Source organism: Homo sapiens, chromosome 12 (genome assembly GCF_000001405.40).
Source record: "Homo sapiens chromosome 12, GRCh38.p14 Primary Assembly".
In the NCBI taxonomy this organism is placed as follows: Eukaryota; Metazoa; Chordata; class Mammalia; order Primates; family Hominidae; genus Homo; species Homo sapiens.
Window position 1 is genome coordinate 72,954,685 of NC_000012.12, and position 22,127 is coordinate 72,976,811.

At 33.1% G+C, this 22,127-nt stretch overlaps 1 long non-coding RNA gene across 2 annotated transcripts in view; it reads left to right on the forward strand.

The window, feature by feature from the left end:
* Positions 1–22,127, forward strand: part of LOC105369838 (uncharacterized) — a 122,994-nt gene that overhangs the window by 34,775 nt on the left and 66,092 nt on the right. Inside the window, exons 3-5 of one of the 2 annotated variants that reach the window (XR_945088.2) lie at positions 4,381–4,480; positions 13,569–13,633; positions 13,956–14,006. This is a non-coding gene — a long non-coding RNA (uncharacterized LOC105369838). The remainder of the gene's footprint in view (positions 1–4,380; positions 4,481–13,568; positions 13,634–13,955; positions 14,007–22,127) is intronic. The other variant, XR_945089.2, reaches the window with a different exon arrangement.

Below are 22,127 nucleotides of genomic sequence, written 5' to 3' on the forward strand. Positions count from 1 at the left end.
GTGTGTGTGTATGCTTTACAAATATGGCTGAATACTCACACTCAGTAAGACCTATAATATTGATCTGAAATCTTCGGTCATGTAAGCTCAGGGAAGTATTTCTCTACCATAGGTTTAATTACTGGTTTTGATCATTAAAAACACCAATTATCTTTAGTTCAACTAGCATTTGCTGTCCTTACTTTAATGCCTTTTTTCTTTATGTGCTTTAGGAAATTATCTGTATTTTTTTTCTGCATGTTACTGATTACATTTCCTAGAGTATTATTATATTTCCTGCTTGCATTACATGTTTATTTTGCAAATTTTGCATTTACTCATTTCTTTTCTTATTACGTGTAGCTTTTTAAAAAATCTCTATTTTAGGAATGCCTTTTTATCTTAGTTTATTGCCTTCTCATGTCAGCTTCCATATACCAATTTCTTATATTTTTAGGTGTTTTTAAAGTCTATTGAGATCACAATCACATGTGTTCTAAAATTTATACTTTTTATCTGTAAAAGTATATTTTATTTTTAATAGAAATTGGAAAATATTTTTTTAAATCTTATATGTATGACAAAGTTAACTACTAACTTCAAAATTCCCAAGTTCATAACACATGTAATTAACAAAGTATTACAAGATAGTCCATAAAATATTTAAAGGGTAATATTTATTGTTGTCTCTGTTATAAAGGTTTATCAAAAACAAAAATAATGTGTGTATTTTGTAAAGCATTCGACTGAAAACATGTTTCCTATAGATTATTATTTAATACAAACAGCTCTTTTACAAAGCTAAACTAAAACAAATAAACCAACAAACAGAAATGCATATTCCAAGTCAACATGTTTTTCTGGAACATACCAGATCTACATGAATGTGGCAAGTATGTAAAACGATCAGGTGCATAGTTCACTGTCTTCTTTATTCATATAAATATATATGTATGTATGTCACATCTATCTATCTATCTATCTATCTATCTATCTATCTATCTATCTATCTACCTACCTATCTATCATCTATCTATCTATATGTTTTAGAAGAGCCATATTTGGTGATTTTCACCATCTTGATTCCAAGATGAAAGTGTAATTTGTGAGCAAATGGACAAATATATCTTATTAATATTTAGTCATGGTTTCCATGCATATATGCACACATCTACCTTAATTTAATTGTGGAAATTGAAAATAGAAATACCTTCAGGTTAACATAAATTTTAGAAGAGAATAGCACTCATTAAACTGAAAGGTAAGCAGAAATAAAACTGCACAACAAATAACGTGTCCAGGATTCAAGTAAATAAATGTTTAGAAAATATGCATGAATTAAGACAGTCATAGAATAGTTTGTGTAGCAGAGCATTCTCCAATAATCCATTGAGTCTCTATTTTACTAACTTGATATGTGGAAGATTTTGAGATACAAACAATAGTTGTTCCAGTACAGGCCTCATAATCATATTTATCATATTTATGATTAACTTGGTGTGTCATAATCTATTTGAAGTATTCTGAAATGTTAGTATTTGTAACAGGATTTTATGTATTAGTCCTCTTTAGTGTTTATGTCCGAATAACGTTTCCTTCCTTCCTTCCTTCTTTCCTCTTTCTTCCTTTATTTTCACTATGTGTATAGGTATGTGTCAAGCATATTTATCTTAGTAAGCTATAATATAATACATTTGGAATCAATCAAGTAAAATGTAATTTCACATTATTGTTTTACTTATTTGCCTTCCTTAAATACTTGAGAAATAAGCAAATAAACATTTTACATCTGAAAGAGACTTCCTATATGTCTGTTGTTTAAAAAGTTCAACTTTATTGAATGTCATATTCATACACCCTTCTTTTGTTAAATTAGGAACTCATTTCTACTTTTTTAAGTCATTGCACAATTTCTGACAACTAATTCAAAAGCCTTTCCTATGATCATATTTATGCTAGATGCATTGAAAATAGTAAAATTTTATATAAAATAAAATATATTGTACATATTCTCAACTAAATATAACTAATTCTCTAGATTTTAAAAGTAACACAACTATATTACACTTTTTTAAACAATTAAGAATTAATGTTTAATAAATTTACATAAATTTTAAACCTTCTCATCTGAATTTATGAACTTCACCTATTCATATTTGGCTACAAAATTTGTTTGAACTGAAGAAAACAATATCTATTATGAAATTTTATTTGTAGTTTGAAACATTATCTTTAGATCTGATACCACTTTCTAGAAGATCAATGCTATCTTGAATAATGTTTTCCTGAAACCTAAGGCTTCATTTTTATGACTTTCTTTCTCAGTTAAAAATTCAGTGAAAGTATTTTTTTTTAATTCCAGGGTTCTCTGATGAGCGATGTTTTCTTATTTTTGGACTATTTTCCACAGCAGCCCACTATTGCTAAATTTTTTAATTAGGAATTTAAATGTTCCAGGTCTTTCCTTAAGAATCAGAATAATTAGATTTCAGATCACTAGATCTGAGCTTTTCTGAGTTTTGCATGCAAAGTCCTGCTGACAGCCACTTATTTCAATCACTGGATAAAAGGACTCACTCCAGTTGCTTTGCCATTACCTGTTCTGTTTTTGAAGAAATAGCTGCAAATTCTTCATCTATAGTCTTGCAAGCCGGATGTTCATATTACTCTTTTGGAAACCCTGGAAACCTGGCAAGCTTCTTCTATTTTAATTTTCTCAGTGATAATTCCTCTCTTTCTCTCCATGTAGACTTTAAGATTCTTTAAATATATTTCTTAAGGTGATTTATGAAGAAATGTCTCTATCCAGATCAGTCTATGCCTAATTTTGTACAAAGCATGCTTATTTACACAAAATTTAAAAGTGGACCCATGACGTACAAGATGCTTTAATGCTTTTTTTTTTCTTTTTTTGAAAACCCTTTCATTGTGAATCAAATCTCTGACGTATTACAGGGTATTTTCAAATTTCTTTCTCTGTATGTATCACCACTCATCTGAAGGATATGACTAATCAGGTTAGCCAATTTCTTCTTGGTTTTCAGTAGTTCTTTCACTTTGTTCAAGTCAATATTGTGGCAATCACTTTTTTCACACATTCAGATACCAGGTATTATTAACGGCATTCAGCACATTTCCTCTATGCTTTGGTGAATCCAGGAGAGATGAGGTGACTACATTTAATGGTATGAGCTTGAGTACATGCTTTTGGTTCCCTGGAGTACTAAACATCTAATCTCATTAATTTTTTCTTATGTTGTATACAAAGGTGTTGACTGTGCATTTCACAATATTTAATTAAAGTTCTTAGACCTTTCTTTTTTAACATTTCTACCAAAAGATATTTCAATACATATGGGAAGGCAAGTAGAAATCACACAGTTGGCAAGTAAAGAAGCCAGAGGTTGGTGTTAAAATTGAAGCCTTATAACCCAGTGTCCCAAAACTTTTCATAACCTTCTGATTTAAACCGTATTAGCCATGCCCACTTGACCTATGACTTTCTAAAATTTCTCTAGTCTTCCTTTACAGAACAACTAGATATTATCACCACATTGTTGAAGGCGTACATTTTTAAAAAAATATATATAGTGTCCTGTGAAAGCTTGATGACATTTCTGGAAAAAGACATAACATTTTTAAAGAAATGCAGGCTTTTCCTCTCTCTTTCCCTGAAATGGCCTCAAGCATAAAAGCCTAAGCTCTGAATCCAAGTTTATTGACAAAAGATGTTCTGTCTGCTTTTAGTCATCATCAAGAACATCTTCTGAACCATGATGTGAAAGATACAAAGTGGTGGTCGGGCCTCTCCCGTCAACACCACCAGAAGTGATATCTCTTTGCATTTTTGCCTCATGCTCTGGTGTAGAGTCTCAGACACGACCCACCCACACCAGACACTGCCCACAGAATTTTGAAACACTATTAACTCAGGAGCACTAGCAGTGACAAAGACCCACTGTATTCCCTAAAGCCAACCCTTCTGTACCTGCTTTCAATCTAAGTGTAAACTCCCTTCCTCATCTCTCAGTTTCCATCTCCTTCATTTGTCTATTAAGAGATCACATCAGGGATATTTTGCTCTGACTATATTTTGTTAAATTTGAAAATACTTTGAGGGCAAGATCTATTCACAAGATCTAAGTTCTTTTCTTTTCCTTATATTTTTGTTATTTTCTATTGTTGTCCTTTATTCTTCCTGACACAAGACATATTTACCTTGATCTGTTGGTAGCCAATAAACAGGATCAATAAATTCTCATTGACCACCTTACCCCCCACCCCCAGAGATTGTGGATATTATTGAAATCCAATTAGATTTTTAGAGGAGAGATTGTTGATGTGCACAGACTGTAAGTAAATTTTTTCATGCCTATGTTGTTTATCAAATTTTTTTTGTAGGGCAAAGAAGAAAACTTTTGCTCTCAGAGACTAGAAGCATGACAGAAAGCTACCCTTAGGTGATTTGGACTGGTTTGAAGTGCATGAAACAACAAACAGGGTATGGACACCTGTAACTGCTATTGCTCCCGTGGCTTCTAGTATTTCCATCCTTCCTAATGTGAAGCTCACAGCTTGGGTTATAATGCACCATCAGTTGCTAATTTCTGCCTTTGGTGATGTTACTCTATTGGAAAGTGTATCCAAAAGAATGTAGAAGAAAAGCTAGTAATTACTTCCGAATGGAGCTACATAGATACTGTGCTTGCTATAGAGTTAGAAGAACCTTCAGTGTGAAGTATCTGGGCTTTTCACACAGCAGAATTTAGTTGGGGTTAGTGCAATAACTTCTTCAGTCTCACTATCTGGCTGTTTCATCTCAGTCCATAACATGTTTTTGCTACTGAAAATTCCTCCTGAGTCTTGGTGGATTTGATAAATATTGAGAATTTCAAATTCTGTCACAATTTACTTTCTGAAATTCTTCTCTGTTCAATGCCTACAGAATGTATTTATCTCTGTGCTTTTATAGCAATTATGACAGAACTTGTATAACATTTGTCAAATAGTATCACGTTTGTTCTTAACCATTTTAAAGAGAGAACATGACTGTGCAGTAATGGCTGCTTGATTCAGAGGCATTTGGCCTTACTGTATCTGATTATGCATCCATAAAAGCTCGAGATTTTCCACCTTATGACCAGCCCATCATGTTTTGTTAACACTATTGATTGCTTTGGTTTGGCACCAATTGACCTAGCATGTCATCACCGTCAATGTCAGCATCTTTCACATTTAATACACAATTGTAAATGTAAGACTTGCTCATTACTGCAGAGGATCTTAATTACACCCAAAAGATCATAAAGAAGGAGGTTATAAGTAGTACTTGGAGGTGTTTCTTTTCACATAATAATTTGGGAACTCCTTGATGTTATGAATCTTATTCACCTTCTTATCAGCAGATTGTGGCCCAGGGGAAGTAATTTTTAATCATTTACTGAATGGAATTGAAATGTTAAGTATATATATTTGGTGAGAAATATATTTTACCACTAAGAGATATAGCTAAATAATTTTAGAACATTTTAAAATTTATAAATTAATTTATTCAATAAAATTGTTTGCGTCTGCTATGTGCCATGCAAAGAGATTTTTTCAAAGCACTTATTTCAGATCTTGGTGATTTTTTAAAAAATAAATATTGGATAGAAACTTGAATGCTGCTAAGAAGAATGCTTTAAAAATATTGAGGTCATCAAGAGATCTTAAAGCTAAATTAATTTGTGTGGGCATCAATAGAATTGGAATTTTCTCTGGCCAACCAGTGTACAAGTTGGCCACTCGTAACTGGTTCTGACATTTGGCTTAACTTAGTCTTCTTTGTAATCAATTATATCCAAAATTATTGAAAAAAGTGAAAAAGGTAATAAACATAATTAAAAGGGAACATTATTTCAGGTGCCTCATTGCTTTTCCAGTATTTTTTCTTTAATCCTTTTTTAATTCTTTCTGACCTCAGAGTCAGGTTGATAGGCAAAAGATTGCCTAGGCGTGGGGCATTTAACGTCAGCTTTAGCCTTTCCACATTATTTTGGCGTGTTCTTGGGGGAAAACCTTCCAGTGCAGTGTAAGTAGAGGTCCATGGATTTATTTCCTCACTTCCAGGAGTTTAACTGCGAATTGAGAAAGATTATAACCTCAACCTTCTTGTATTTATAGTCTCAACAGACTCAGAAAAGAGGATGTTGAGGTGCAGAGTAAATTTTAATTGAGAATATGGCTATAGAACTAGTATGAAATATTTACCTGAAAGGTGAAAATAAAGAAAGCATGGTTATTTTATTAATAATGCTGGTTGTAGAACAAAGATAAAGTTATAATTCCTGTTAAACTATTTTCAAGGATTGTTATCTATCATTAAAATGATGTAATGATAAATTTATTTAAATAGGCAGTATCCTCTTTGATCCAAACAGCTTTCCATATAGAAATAACTCATATGGAGAAATATGTATTGACAGATTCCTTTCAATCCTAGTATTCAATGCTCCTAAAGCTATTATGTCAACTAGGAGGCATTTTAGTAGATATAAAGTTCATAAGACTGTCAAATTGGTTCTCCACATCTGAGAAATCTGCATGCATTTTAATAGAGAGTTAATATATTAAGACATTCCAATTTGTTCTTTCCAGGAAGTTGGATTAAATGAAGGAAGGAATACATTATTTTTAATATATCAAGTAATTCAGAAATTAAGCCTTTGATGTTACAGAAAAATGTTATAATGTTTAATGCCAAGAAGAGTATCTGAAAATGAAAATATATAATATTTCAGAATTTATTTCACCAATGAAATCACTGGGCAGCATATTTCCATATAACTTTATGTATAATGTATAAAGCAAGCTTTGACATTTTTTTAGGTAGTTAATATCAAAAGAGAAACTATAAAATTTTGTCTGCAGCTGTCTATGGAATCTCATTGATAAGTGATAATGAAGTCCCAAGCCCTGTATTTTCTCTAATTTTTAAAAAATGGATATACTGGAAAATACATTTAAAGAGATCTTTTGGAGTAGCCAAAATGGTATTAAATACATGTTTTTCAGAATTGTTTTAATTGATCACAACTTCTATGGAACCCTTTAAAGTTGCTTTTTGAGGCAAATTTTGAGTAACTAGATTGTCAGTGTCCTCTTTCATTTACCTAAGTTGGCATTAAATAATGTTTGTCTGTTTTAAAAGAACAATTTACTCTCATAAAAGAAACTATTGGTCTGAGGTACTCAAAATAATATACTACAAATTCCGAAAGAGTTCAAAAAACATTTTGAACAAAGGTGTTGTTGTAAGAATTTCCCTTCTGATTTAACAATTTGTAATATTACCAAATACCGCATATTCTCACTCATAAGTGGGAGTTGAACAATGAGAACACATGGACACAGGGAGGAGAACATCACACACTGGGGCCTGTCAGGAGGTCAGCAGGCAAGGGAAGTGAGGGCATTAAGACAAATATCTAATGCATGAGGGGCTTAAAACCTAGATGATGGGTTGATGGGTGCAGCAAACCACCATGGCACGTGTCTATGTAACAAACCTGCACGTTCTGCACATGTATCCCAGAACTTAAACCAATTTTTTTTTTGAAAATGTGGGCCGGGCATGGTGGCTCACGCCTGTAATCCCAGCACTTTGGGGGTCGAGGTGGACGGATCACCTGAGGTCAGGAGTTTGAGACCAGCCTGGCCAACATGGCGAAACCTCGTCTCTACTAAAAATACAAATTAGCTGGGCATGGTGTCGTGTGAGCCTGTAGTTCCAGCTACTGGGGAGGCTGAGGCAGGAGAATCGCTTCAACCCAGGAGGCAGAGTTTACAGTGAGCCGAGATAGCACCATTGAACTCCAGCATGGGCAACAAGAGCAAGACTCCATCTAAAAGAAAAAACTAAAAAAAAAAAAATTGATGGATTTTTAGACGCATTTTCTAAAATATCACTGATGTTACTATAATAGTCAAATCACATGGGCTTGTTTTTTGCTATTGTTTTGAAATTTTTCTTGAATAAATGTCAGAATTGCACTATTTTTTTTTCAATATTTCAGACATGCATAGCACTTGGAGTGTAATATACTTTAGGGCTTTAAATCTCAGTTGTCCTACACATGTGGAATGAAAGAACTGATGTTCAGCCAACTCGTCAGTTCTTTTTTTTCTAATGTATCACATTTGATAGATGATATTAGCATGCATGACATATTCCCAAAAACTCTAATTGTAACTCCACTTTCCCTTCCAAAGAAATGAAAGAAAGAGAGAGAGAGAAAGGAAGGAAGGAAGGAAAAAGAAAAGAGAAGAGAAAAGAAAAGAAAAAAGAAAAGAAGGGAGGGAGGAAAGAAGGAAGGGAGGAAAGAAAGACAGGAACCGTCAACATTTCATCAATAGAAACAAAATACATGAAGAATATCTCATAACTGGTTGACTCACGTAAATTCTTGGAGAACAGCAGAATTCGGAGCTAGCAATCTAGGATATCAATACATGACTCAGATTAACTGAATGTCAGCGGAATCTATTCTATGCCAACATACAGATATGGAGAATATACTTAACGCATTTGTTCATTAAGAGGTCCATCTTTATATCCCCACAGTGTTGTTGCTGATGCGCAGCTTGGCTTTCTTTCATCTGTGTCATGCAAGTACCCACTTCTTTTTTCATCTTGCTTTAGGGGTGAATGACTGAGAGAGTAACCTGTTTGATAGTACTGTATAGACTTTTTCAACCTCTTCGTTCTTGTAGACATTCTTATTATCCTTTCCCATATATCAGGATGGGGTGTTTTTCCATCCTTTTGCATATCTCCTGATCTTATAAGGACCCCTGATGTATATAGCCTCACTTGGAAATAATTAGTGCCTACTATGTTTATTCCTGGAAAATAATTCTTTTCTGTCTTCTGAACACATTTCAAAGCAAGCTCTCTCTTTTAGGTTCTTTAATTCAGGGCACTCTTTTTTCTTCTTTTTTTTTAATGTTACCTCTTTGATGTTATCTTTGAAATCGTAGCACTTGTCGAAATACCTGGCTTTCAGTAAGCTTCATAAATGCTTGTGGATTGAGGGAGTGATTCAGTCTTGCACTGCTGATCTAGCTCATGCAGGTCTGGAAGATTTTTCTCTGATTTTCCTCATTCTTGCTAGCTCCTATTAGCACTTGCTTGTCTGAGGTTTTTATATGTCCTTGTTCACTGCGTTCATTATAGTTCACAAGAAAATCTTTAACAACACTGTTCAAACCCTAGCAATCCATAGACCAACTCAGGCACTGCTTACACACTGCTTTATACTATCCTCAGTTTGAAAGTCTTTAATTGGATTATTCACGTTCAGTTTTATCACAGTCGTTACAATTTCTCATTGTTTTATATAGGCCCCATCCACATGGCTTTGTTATCTGCCTGGTTGTGGTGGACAATGAGATCTTGACTCCAATCTAATTTATGTCTGCTAAGAACTAATTATAATGTGCAGGGAACAGGTCAATAAAATTTATTCAAAGAAGAGGAGGAGGAGGAGAAAAAGAAAGATAGTTAAAATTTGAACGATAAATATTTAAACATTCTAAAAACAGAAAATGGACATCTATAAACTCAGCTGCCACATTTGCCTCTGATTTATTTTTGAGAAATAAAATCTTATACTCTAAACTCTCCTCCTCTACTTGCCTTCCTTCTCAAAGCAAACAACTATCAAACTTACTATATATCTTTTCTCTGAAGATTTTTATTACTGTTCTTGCATACATTTGCATCCATAATAAAGTTTAACATTCTTTCCTAAATCCTAACATATTAGACTACCTTAAAAAGCTTTTCTTCTTTTTCAGCTAATGTTATGTTTTAATACATTATTATTTTGATACTTGAAGACTTAGTTTACTTGTTTTCACAGTAGTGTAGTGATAGACTGAATATAGAAATGGGCAATAGCCATAGTATGAACAAAAATAGAACTTTGACTCACAACCTCTGCATCAGTCAGCCCAAAACAGTAAATTACTTGGTCAAATAACTGTTCGCTTCTCTAATTTTGTTCCTGTTTCCAACTCAGGACCAACCAGAAAAAGTTATATATGCTGCCCTTACCAATTACATAGATGCTTTGCTTCTAGTTAGCCCACTTTCAGCTTTCCCTTTCCAACAACTTTCAATCACAGAACACTTCAAACATTCCCCTTCTTCTACCATAACATTTTCCCACTCCCCTCCCTGCCTTTGAGTCTCTGCCAAATAAGCGATGGTAGCTGACTCCCTTGCTGGAGCAATCTCTCAGTAAATAGCCTTTGCTTGTGTTCATTTTGGAAGTCTTTATTTGAACAGTAGTACAGTCATGTGTCAATGACATGGATACATTCTGATGAATGTGTTATTAGGTGATTTTGCCATAGTGAGAACATCCTGGAGGGTAGTTACACAAATCTAGATGGTATAGCCTGCTACATACCAGGCTATGTGATATAGCCTATTACTCTCAGGCTACAAACCTGTATAGCATGTTAATGTGCTGAAAACTATAGGCAACTGTAACTCAAAGGCAAATATTTGTGTATATAAATATGGCTAAACATAGAAAAGGCATAGTAAAAATATGGTATTATAATCTTATGAGACCACTGTCATATATGCAGTCCATCGCTCACTGAAATGTCATTATGTGGCCCATGACTGTCTTCAGATTCTACATCCATTCTCACAAAATTCTAAGTAAACTTATTCTCACAAATATTCTAAGTAAACTCTTGCATATATATGTATATATATTTATGTTCATATATATGCAAGAGTTTATTTAGATATGGACATAAATATATATATATATATGGATATTATATATATGGATATATATGCAAGAGTGTACTTAGACTATTTGCCATAAAATGAAATGATAGTTTAGATTAGTTATTACTTCAGCTTTGTTTAACTCTTCCCAAATTGCTATCCAAGCTTTGAACAAATTTACTTTTTACCAGTAAGAGTTTCTGTTTCCCAAATCTTTATCAATAATTAGTCTTATCAGACTTTTTATTTTTTGGCAATTACCAGGGATACTGCAGGCTAGGGCAGTAATAACAAAAAAAAATCAACAGCTTCATTTAATAAAAAATGTTTTATTATTCATGTAGATTACATTGCTGTTCTGAGTATAGACCAGTTTGGAAGGGAGATTAATATTGTCAAAAATAAAATCAGATCAAAAAAAAATTGTAGTTTATTGTGTATACAAATGAAACATTCACAAACTGGGAGACCTCAAACCAAAGTGGTACGTCCTGGTCAGAGCAGTTACAGTGCAGCATGTAAAGCATAAATGAGGGCATACATTGATTTTTATTGGGATTGGCTATCATAAACTTACATTCCTTTTAGGCAAGTAGAACTGTTGAAACTTATTGATCTGTCACTGATTTGTTTAATTTGGCTGATTTATGCTGTCAAAGAACAGAAAGATTATGTTTTGTGTTTTTTAAAAAATAATTAGAGCTAGCATTTTGGGGAAAATCACAATAACTTGAGTTTTGGCTATGTGGCTATAGGCTGTTGGCCTTGAGATATCTAAACTATATCCTCCATTTTAAATTTTGTAAACCATATCTTAACAATATGGAGTATTCCAATATATGAACATTTACTAGGTCTTTAAAAGTTTGTGATGCAGATTTCTGTGAAAGTCTTACATATTTTTTGGCAAATTTATTCTTTAATATTTTATGTTTTAAGAGATTTTGTAAGTGCTATCTAAACTTTTGAAAACTAACTGCTAGTATATAGAAATATTATGTTTTGTATAAACACCTCGTATCCAGTTGCCTTGCTAGAGTCACTTATTAATTCTAATTTGATAGATCATTCTGAAATTTTTGGTCATCTGAAAATTTAAATAGTACTTCTTTTTCTCTATCTTTAGGGTTTCTGTTTGAGACAGGGTCTCACTCTGTTGCCTGAGTGAGAGTGCAGCAGCATGATCAGCTCACTGCATTCTTGAACTCCTGGCCTCCACTAATCCTCTCAAACTCAGCCTCCTAAAGTGTTAGAATTACAGTCCATTTGTTAATCATAGGTTTAAAAATATCTTTTCCTATGCCTGTCTTTTCAATGTGTTGATTTTATCCTTTGACATACTGAAAACTTTAATTTTAATGACGTGAATTAGACTTATTTTCCTTAAACTAATTCTCTAATGCCAATAGTCTTTTGTTTATTTTATTTATTTATTTATTTATTTATTTATTTATTTATTTAGAGACAGAGTCTCACTACCATTGCCCAGGCTGGACTACAGTGGTGCAATCTTAGCTCACTGCAGCCTCAACTTCCCGAGCTCAGGTGATCCTCCCACCTTAGCCTCATGAATAGCTGGGAGTACAGGTGTGCGCCATCACACCCAGCTAATTCTTGTATTTTTTGTAGAAACGTTTTGCCATTTTGCTCAGGCTGGTCTTGAACTCCTGGGCTCAAGTGATCTGCCAACCTCAGCATCCCAAAGGGTTAGGATTATAGGCATGAGGCACTGTACCCAGCATATTTTCATAAAGCCATATTTAACCTGATATTAATAACTATATACTTAGTTTATTTTGGGTAGTATTTAACCTAAATGTATTTTTAAATCCATTTATTTTCAATATTAGGAAACCTTTGACTTTCAGATGTGTCTCCTTTAAAAAATATATTGCTTAAAAAAATGAAAATGCATTTCTTTTAACATATATGCTTAGTTTATTTATATTTATTGAAATATTTAATATCTTCAGACATTTTTATTTACTTTGTTCTTTTTCATTAGTACATTTTGTTGATAATCTTTTATACATTTTCTTGTCTGCTTTTGTTTTTTCATGTATTTCATTCTTATGTATGTACATATTTATTTTTATTCAGTTTTTCAAAATTTATGTTCCTTATTTTTTTGTAATGCTCATTCTTAAAAAAGTATCACAAATATTTAGCACATGTAGATTTATATAAATTTCCTTATAATTTCTCTCTGGTTTTAGGGGTATCCAGGAACATATTTTTAATCTTTTATATCAATTTGATCTTTTGTACCAAAGTTTATACACATGTAGCTTGGAAGTTATTTTTCTGTTGTTCCAATTTTATCTTATTTTTATAAGAAAACTCTAGTTCTAGGTGATATGAATGATTTCATCTTTGTTGCAACTTCTTTTTTATCTCAGCAAATGATTAATATTTATAAATTTTCTATATAACTTTAAAAAAGATCTTTAAATATTTGGTTTGACGTATATATAAGTTGATATTGGCTAATATTAGCTGACATATAAGAGATGATAATAACTCATTAACTGAGTTGATTAATTTTCTATATATTACTAATTTGATTTAGTTTTCTTATTTCTATCTTTCTGATTGTGTTATATTAAAAATAATTGTTATAAATGTGCATTTTTAAATTCATCCTCATAATTCTGTTTATTTTTACCTTATATATTTGGAGGCTATATTGTTGGATGCATGAAGTTCAGCATTGTTATATTTTTCTACATTTTTTTCTTTTTGCTGTTTAATGCTTTATCTCTAAAACACTTTATTTCTAATAATGCTTTTTTTTTTACAGATGCCTAAACATCCTTTATTACAAACAGCTATGAGAATTTTGAGGCCAAGGATATGATTGCAACAGTAAGGTTTGATTTACATGGATAAGCTTTCTTCCCCATGAAAACACTATGTGTCACTTCACACTTTGTCTAACACACACACTTAAATCTCCACCGTATCTGGCACCCTATCTGGCACCCTATCTGAATTTCTGTTCCTTGTCTGTCAAACGAATTCCATAACTTTCTTGTCTCCTTTTATTTTTAAAGTAATAATCCAATTTAAAGCTTCAATTTCAAATTAAATCTAAATTGTACTTTCTTATATTGAACAACTTCAGTCCGTTGCTCAAGGAATTTCAAGTGCAAAAGTTGTTCTAATCTATTCTTTCTCATTCGGTAAGTCCTGCAGGTTCCAGGATGCCTGAAAACATGTATATGTGACAAGTTCCCAGGTAATTATGCATTTGGATTGCGAATCACACTGAGTAGCTATACACAGAAAACACAGTTTTGCTAGTGCAACTGGCTGCATTTTATTTCTTTGCTGTTCTGGTTCAGTTAGATTTTTTCTGCTGATGGTGGCTTCCCACTGATGTTCTGGTGATATAGATGTCATCTGTGGCTATTTGGAATGGTGTTCAGTATTATTCTGAGCTCACTCTCTTACCAAGAACTGCTCTGTTCAGATTTACATAAACTCATTTGGCTCCATCAGTAGGTAATGCTACCAATGGCATGGCACTGAAGCTATGTGGGCAATCCCATGTCACTATCTCATTACTCATTATTCAATTTCTTTATGAGACTCCAATGAGAACTGAAATGAGGTGAAGATTTTCCCATGTACTCTCCAGACACACAACTCCTCTGTTCTGCTTTGTGTTGCTGTAAATCCACTAATCCGACATGCCTTTTGCCTCAGTAGAGTACCCAACGAGTGAGTGAGATGCAAGTCTTTCTTTCTTTACACTTCCAACATCCACTGTACACTTGATCCACTTGGGCCCTCTCTTGCCCAAAAAAATCATGTCTTGTTTTTCATAGGGTAGATTTATTGCTGGAAAGTGACTGACCAGTCAGGAACTGCCTTTCCTTGCTCTCTTTGCCTACAGATGTGCCTATCTGACTAGTTCTCACCAGTGTGGATAGAAGTCATACGTGTTACTAATATTTCTAGTTATGGTTTCTAGTGCTAATCCTAAGACCACAGGGAAAATTCAGCTCAATATTCAATTACACATAAGTTAAAGTTTACAAATGTTCCTACCATTATCACAAAAATGAAGACTTTAATTCTTACTTGCCTCCTATGTTAAACATATCTTTAGTAATACTTTAAACTCTCCTCCAAATAATTTTATTTTTAAATGTCTGTGCTTATTCAGGTTTATCCATGCTTATTAATTGTTTTGTCTAACTTTGCTATTTGCCTCTCATGCTTTGTCAGGCATTGTTTATATGTGACCCATCCAATATCCTTCTTATCCTCTGTACTTAGAATGGTGCACAGCAGAGTAGTCCACATGATGTAATTTTGGCCAATGAGATACAAACAGAGGATATTTGTTAAGGATTCTAGGAAATGCATTTTCCTGATAAAAAGGGACAACCTTATTGGTATTTGATGATTCTCCTTCACAACTTCCCTCTTTCTTCCTGACTAAAAATGTGGATGCAATATCTGGAGATACAAGAGCTAACTGGAAAGCATAAGGAAGACAGTCAGTTGTTAGAAAAAGAAAAAAGAGAGAAAGAGGATAATAGAAAAATGCTGTAATTTGGATGACATTTTGTAGTTGCAAATCTCTGAAAATCTCTGAACTTCCTACATCTGAACTTATTCTCATGTGCTGAAAATAAACTTTTATGGTTTAACATTACACCCTTGTTTGGGGATCTCTCTTACATGCAGCTGAATTCAATTCTGATGGATACCCCCCTTCTTCTTTCTATATACTTCTTACTGCAGAATATCCTACAAGGGCATTTTTGGTGCAAGACTAGAAGTCATAAAGTCTTGTTGTTTGTTTGTTTTGTTTTAATTTTTGTCCTAACATATCTTTATTTAGCTATGTTCATTTCATAATATAGAATTACAGGTTGACGATTATTTTCCCTGAGCTTCTAGAAGCTATTTTGAGCTGTCTTTTTAAATCTAGAAAACTAAATTTTCATTCATATCTTTTAAGCTTAGCTGAATATCTAATGGCTGTTTTCTTAATAAGTGTATTGTCAGTAGAAGGGAAACCATACGAGGCTATTCTACCATGTTGCAGTAACAAAAATATAACCACTACAGAATTATATTTGATAAGATCATGTTCTGAAATTACTTTTGATAACTCCCCATCATGAGGATGAGATGGTGGGTGGTTGAGGAGGTGAGAAATATAATAAATACAATTAAAAAGACAGAATTTTTATTAAATTTGAGTTCTTGGGGTTCAGTTTTTTGAGCCTACAAAAATAGATTAATATTGAGGCAATCTGTAGGTGATCCACTACAACAATAAAATTAAGACTTTTAGTAAAGCCAATATTTTTAGTCCTAAATCAACAATAGCATAATAACTGATATTCAACATAAAAAATTTATTAAAGATATCTGGTTAATATGACGCAAAATAGGCTATAACTGAAGCATTATGATAAAATTATTCCAAGAAACAATAATCTTCCAGTTTTGTTATCAGAGGACAATGATAATTTATAATTGTATACCAAATAGAATATTAGTATCTAGTGGATTTATGAAGGATTTTAGAGAAAATTGTGTAAATGATGACCTTTTATTAATGCTTCAACACTATTACCATAGCTCTACTGAGAGTCATATTATTTTTATGTTTTCCAGTATAGGACTTGTCCTACTTCAATGATTATGAAGTAAACATTAAAATTGTATTAGAAACTGTTTAGCTCCAAAAATTGTTTTTCTATTTTAAAATGTAAATATGGATATTCTTAGGGCTATGCTGGTAACTGTTTTTCCAGAAAAAAATAATAAAAGGCTAATTTTTATATTTGTTGATTTCTATCATGTAAATAGTTCCACCATAGCCAATTTCAAGTTTCCAGTGTGAGATCGCTGAGCACAAAGTTTGTAAAGAGCACCACTGTATCTTTTGAGCTGGTACAGGCCACAGGATATACTCATGTTCATACCAACTGTAAATCTATTTTTAATACTTTTGTTCTAGAAAGGATTTCAGGTGGCTCATATAATGTCCAATAAAACAAGATAAAGTAACAGTAAAATGATACACAATATTTACATAAGAAGATTTAGATAAAGCTAGAAGTTAGGTTAGTAAGGGCTTCAATACTTTAAAAGCATAAAATATTCTACATTTACTAACATTGGTTCTAGATTTTCAAACAACAGTGTAGCCATGTTTAGTTTTTGGAGTGAGAATGCCCTTAAAGTAAAAATGAACTTGTTGCTCAGGATCCTATGGTTAGAGAGAATCTTATCCTGAGAGCCATAATGAAGAGGACTTTGTGTAATGTTTTAAGGTACATTCTGAACCATAATGCAGTACATCTGACAGTGTACTTTGTAGGAAAAGCCATAGGCATTTCACATAACAGAAAGTGTAGGGGGAAATGGAGGTGGGGAGGATCCTACATCATATGGCCTAGTTATAACATTTCATAATAATCTGGTTTAATTTTATCTTCTAACATCTGTGATTCAATGGATAACATATTTTTCAGGAATAGGAGCTCTGCTGAGTTTAAGATTTGTCTCCCTGAGTAATACCTGTTAAAACCATTCTGTTTTATATGTGACTTATAATGAAATTAGATAATTATTAATAATGACCTCACTGGATGCTCACAAAAATATTTACAAAAAATTCTGGCAAAACACTGGGCTAAAGGAGGAGAACAGCCACTGTGGAGAAAGGCACAAAACCTCACCCAGGGCAAAAGCACAAAACTGCACCTCCTCTACAAAACAAAAGCCTTAAACTAGGGAAAGAAGCAGAGACAGCAACCAATGCCCTTAAGGCATTGCTGAAAACTTTGTGATTGGGGGAAGAAAAAACAGAAATGAAAACCTTTTTCTGTGTTGGAAGGGTAAGAATACCTATTGGGTCCAGAACTGGCACTGGGATAGGATCAGTACCTCTGAGGCCACACCATCCAGACTCAGAGGCATAGCGCTTTTCTATAACTTAGGCTAAATCAGTACAAGAGAGAACCATCATACCCTCGACCCCACCTCTCATAACACCAGTGTTGAATAACAAGTAGCAATGCAATACTGCTAAAAGAGATAAAAGAGCACAGAGAGATCCTTTATTAGGTGCAATGTAAAAGGATGATTTAGGATGAAGGTAAAATAGATACTGGAGGAAACCTCTCTGTGAACCAACCCCTACTCTAAAGACATGATGACACTAGAGGACTTTGAAGTTACAGTGCACTGAGAATAAAAATAGCAATGACAAATCTCAACACTGATCAATTAGTGACTAGATTGACCCAAATTCATGCACTAAATTTCTAAAATAGGACAAGGCATACCCATTTCTAGCCATAAAAGCTACTTACGTCAGTATCTATTGTCCTGTACAAATTGTCTGGCTTTAAATAAAAAATTATGAGTCATACAGAAAAGACAGAAAAAAACACTATTAAAAGACAAAGAAATATGACACTGATACTCAAACTATCAGAAGCTATTAGAGAGGAAATTCAAAGTATGCATGATTAATATATAGAAGGCTACATTGAAAAAAATATGAACAACATGCAATATAAGATAGATAATTTCATCAGGATGATAGAAACTATAGAAGAATCAGATGTACATGCTAGAAGTGAATACCAGAGTAACAGAGATAAGGAATGTATTTAACAGGCTTATCAGAACACTTGACACGTCAAAGAAAAAAAAAATCAGTAAACTTGAAGACGGGTCAGCAGAAATTACCCAAGTTAGAAGGAAAGAAATGAAACTCATTAGTCCTAGCTAAAGTTTGTCTACCAATAAAATGAATCTCCCTCCCCAAATCTACAAAAAACCTATAATTAATTAGTCAGTTTAGCCATGTCATTTTATATGCTACAGTTTGGATGTTTGTCTCCACCCAAACTCATGTTAAAATTGATTTGTCATTGTAACATTATTAAGAGGTAGAACTGTTAAGAGATAAATGGGATATGAGGGCTCTGTCATCATGAGCAAATTAATGACATTATTGCAAAAGGGGGGGTTATTATTACAAGAGTGAGTTCCTTATAAAAAAAGAAGCTGTGTTGCTTTTTGTTCTCTCTCACTCTCTCTTTGCCCTTCCATGATAAGATGACACAGCAAGAAGGCTTTTTCTGGACAGTGACCCCTCAATCTTGGGCTTCTAGGCCATCAGAACTATGTGCCAATAAATTTCTATTAATTACAAATTACTGAGTCTGTGGTATTCTTTCATAACAGCACAAAACAAACTAAGATATTACACAAGATCGATATTTTATTTCTATATACTATCAATAACTTTGGAATTAAAAAAACTACCATTTATAATACCACTAATAAGAAAATATTTAGATATAAATTTAACAAAACATGTGCAAAATCTGTGTTCTAAAAACTACAAAGCATTGATTAAAGAGTACAAAGAATGAATACCTAAATAAATAGATTTAATGTGTTCATGAACTGGAGACTCAATATTGTTATGATGTCAATGAAATTCTAATCAAAATCTCAGCATGATTTTATTGTAAATACTGAAAGACTGATTTTAAAATTTATACAGGGAGGCAAAGGAAATAGAACAGCCAAAAACATTTAACAAATAAGAATAAAGTTAAATTATTGAAACTACCTGATTTAAAAATTAAAAATGCAATAGCAATCAAGACATTGTGCTATTGATGAAATGATAGATTCATAGGTTAATGAAATGGAATAGAGCTTTCAGAAATAGACTCAAATTAATATAGTAAACTTTTAGAATAATGGTAAAAAGGGTAATTATGGAGAGAGAAGAGTAATTTTTTAAACAAATTGTGCAGAAAAATTGCATGTCCATGTGCAATAAAAATGAAATTTAACCCATACTTTTCAACTTATATAAAAATTAACATAGCTCTAAATGTTAAAATTATAAAACTTCTAGAAAAAGACATAGGAGACAGCCTTTGTTATATTGTGTTAGGCAGAAAGAATTCTTGGATAAGACATCAAAAGCACAATCAATAAAAAAAGAAAAAATCTGATAAACCTATCAAAATAAACAATTTTGCTCCATAAAATATACTGTGAAAGAAAAAAAAACATAAGCCATGTATTAGGAGAAAATATTTTCAAATCATATACCTGCTAAAGGATATATATCAGAATATATAGGAAATTTTGAAAGTCAACAATGAGAAATCAAACAACCTCCATCCCCTGAGAAATGGGCCATAAATTTGAGTAGGCATTCCATCAAGAAAGCATAGAGTTGGCAAGAAAGCATATGTAAAAGTGCACAAAACTATTAGTTCTTATGAAAATAAAAATTAAACTCAGAATGATATACCATTACACAAATATTAGAACATCAAAAACAAAAACAAAAAAATTAACTTACAATATGGAATGCTCATTGCAATGTGGAGTATTGGAACTCTCATACTTTACCTGTGGGAATACAAAATGATACAAGAATTTGGAAGTTTTTTGTAAGTTAAATGTACTTGTCTTATGACCCAGCTATCTCACTCCTATATATTTGCCCAAGAGAATAAAAATTTATGTTCACATTATAACGTATACATTAATATTTATAGCATACCTATTCATAATGTTAGAAACAAGAGCTCAGAGTCGCGAGGAAAACGAGCACTCAAATGAAGGATTTCTCAGCAAGGCAAATTTACTTCTGTGGAAGGGTTTTGCTCACACTTTTGGCCACTGCGAGAGCACATCGAACAAAGGAGGGCTTTTTATTCCCAATGCTGTTAGTCCCTGCTTCTGTGTCTGTCCCCATTGGCTGGAGTTGGACCGCACAATCTAAACTGACCCTATTGGCTACTGTTTAAAATTGAATATGGCTAATTAGGCAAGAAGGGAGAGGCTGTCCATTATGGTACAAGGCATGTTTGGGCATGTCAGGGCATGGCAAAGGTGGGAAGGGTGGTTTCAGGGGAAGAGCTCTTTCGGCGGTAGGGGCAGTTTACAGAATGGGTAGCCAGGAGTAAAGAGGAACCTTTCCAAATAAGGAAGAGACATGAGTTACAGATTGGGACTGGCAGGAGAAGTTGTTTACAGAGCAGGTAGCTTAGGAGAAGGGACAAGGAAGTTGATCTCGAGAACAAAGAACAAGGAAGTCAGAAATTAAAACTTTGAAGCAGAACTTACTGTATCTGACAATAGTCACTGAAAACTGGAAATGTTCTTCAGTTGGTGAATGAATAGACAAATGAAATATTCTCTATCTTAACTGTGGTGATAAATGAATGACTGTATTTTTCAAAACTCACATAACTTTATATTACAAAGAGTAAATTTATTGTATATAAATTGAAAATAAAGTTTCAAAAATTATTTATTAATATATATGTGTACATTATATTCACAATAAAATATGTATAAATAATTCATCTCTAGTTAGAATGATATACCAAAAAATAAGATGTTTACTATTAGCATTCAATGTGGCAAATAAAATGTTGCAATATAATCCTTAGGGTATTATTCCATTCTTGCATTGCAAAACTGCAGATGGGAGGACTACTCGGTAAGTGTAGTTTAAGTTCATAGATCATATTATTTCAATAATTCTATCTAATTAATTGTAGGGTAGTTCTAAATTTAAAATATCATTAGAAGTTAATGAGCTGGCCAGGCACGGTGGCTGACTCCTGTAATCCCAACACTTTGGGAGGCCGAGGTGGGTGGATCACCTGAGGTCAGGAGTTTGAGACCAGCCTGGCCACACAGTGAAACCCTGTCTTTACTAAAAATACAAAAATTAGCTAGGCATGGTGGTGTGTGCCTGTAGTCTGCAGCTGTTCGGGAGGCTGAGGTTGGAGAATCGCTTGAACTGGGGAGGTGGAGGTTGCAGTGAGCCGAGATTGTGTCACTATACTCCAGCATGGGGGACAGAGCACGACTTCATCTCAAAAAGAAAGAAAATAAGTTAATGAACAGATAAAATTTTCTCATTATTCACTTGATCATTTTTATTTAAAGTTATAGTAGCACCACATGATTGCTACTGTATATGGATTTAGTCAGTTTTTGTTGGCCACTTGAATGGTTGAAACTCTAAAACATCATCTAAGAAGTGAAAATGTAGTTTGGAAAAGACTATGAGGATATACGGAAACAGGCAATTGAAAACATTAAATTTAAGCAGTGAAAAGAAAAAGGTTCAGTCTATGAATATACTCTAGATAAAATCTGGTAGATAGCAGTACAGCATAAAAACTTGGGCAGTCATGTGGGTGGTAGAGATAATAAATTCATGTGGAGAACATTTTCTTACATTGGCGTCTCTTTTGAAGATCTCATATCCAGACCGTATAAGCAGGCCCCCTGGAATTTGAAAATATCTTAATCTAACTGTACTCTC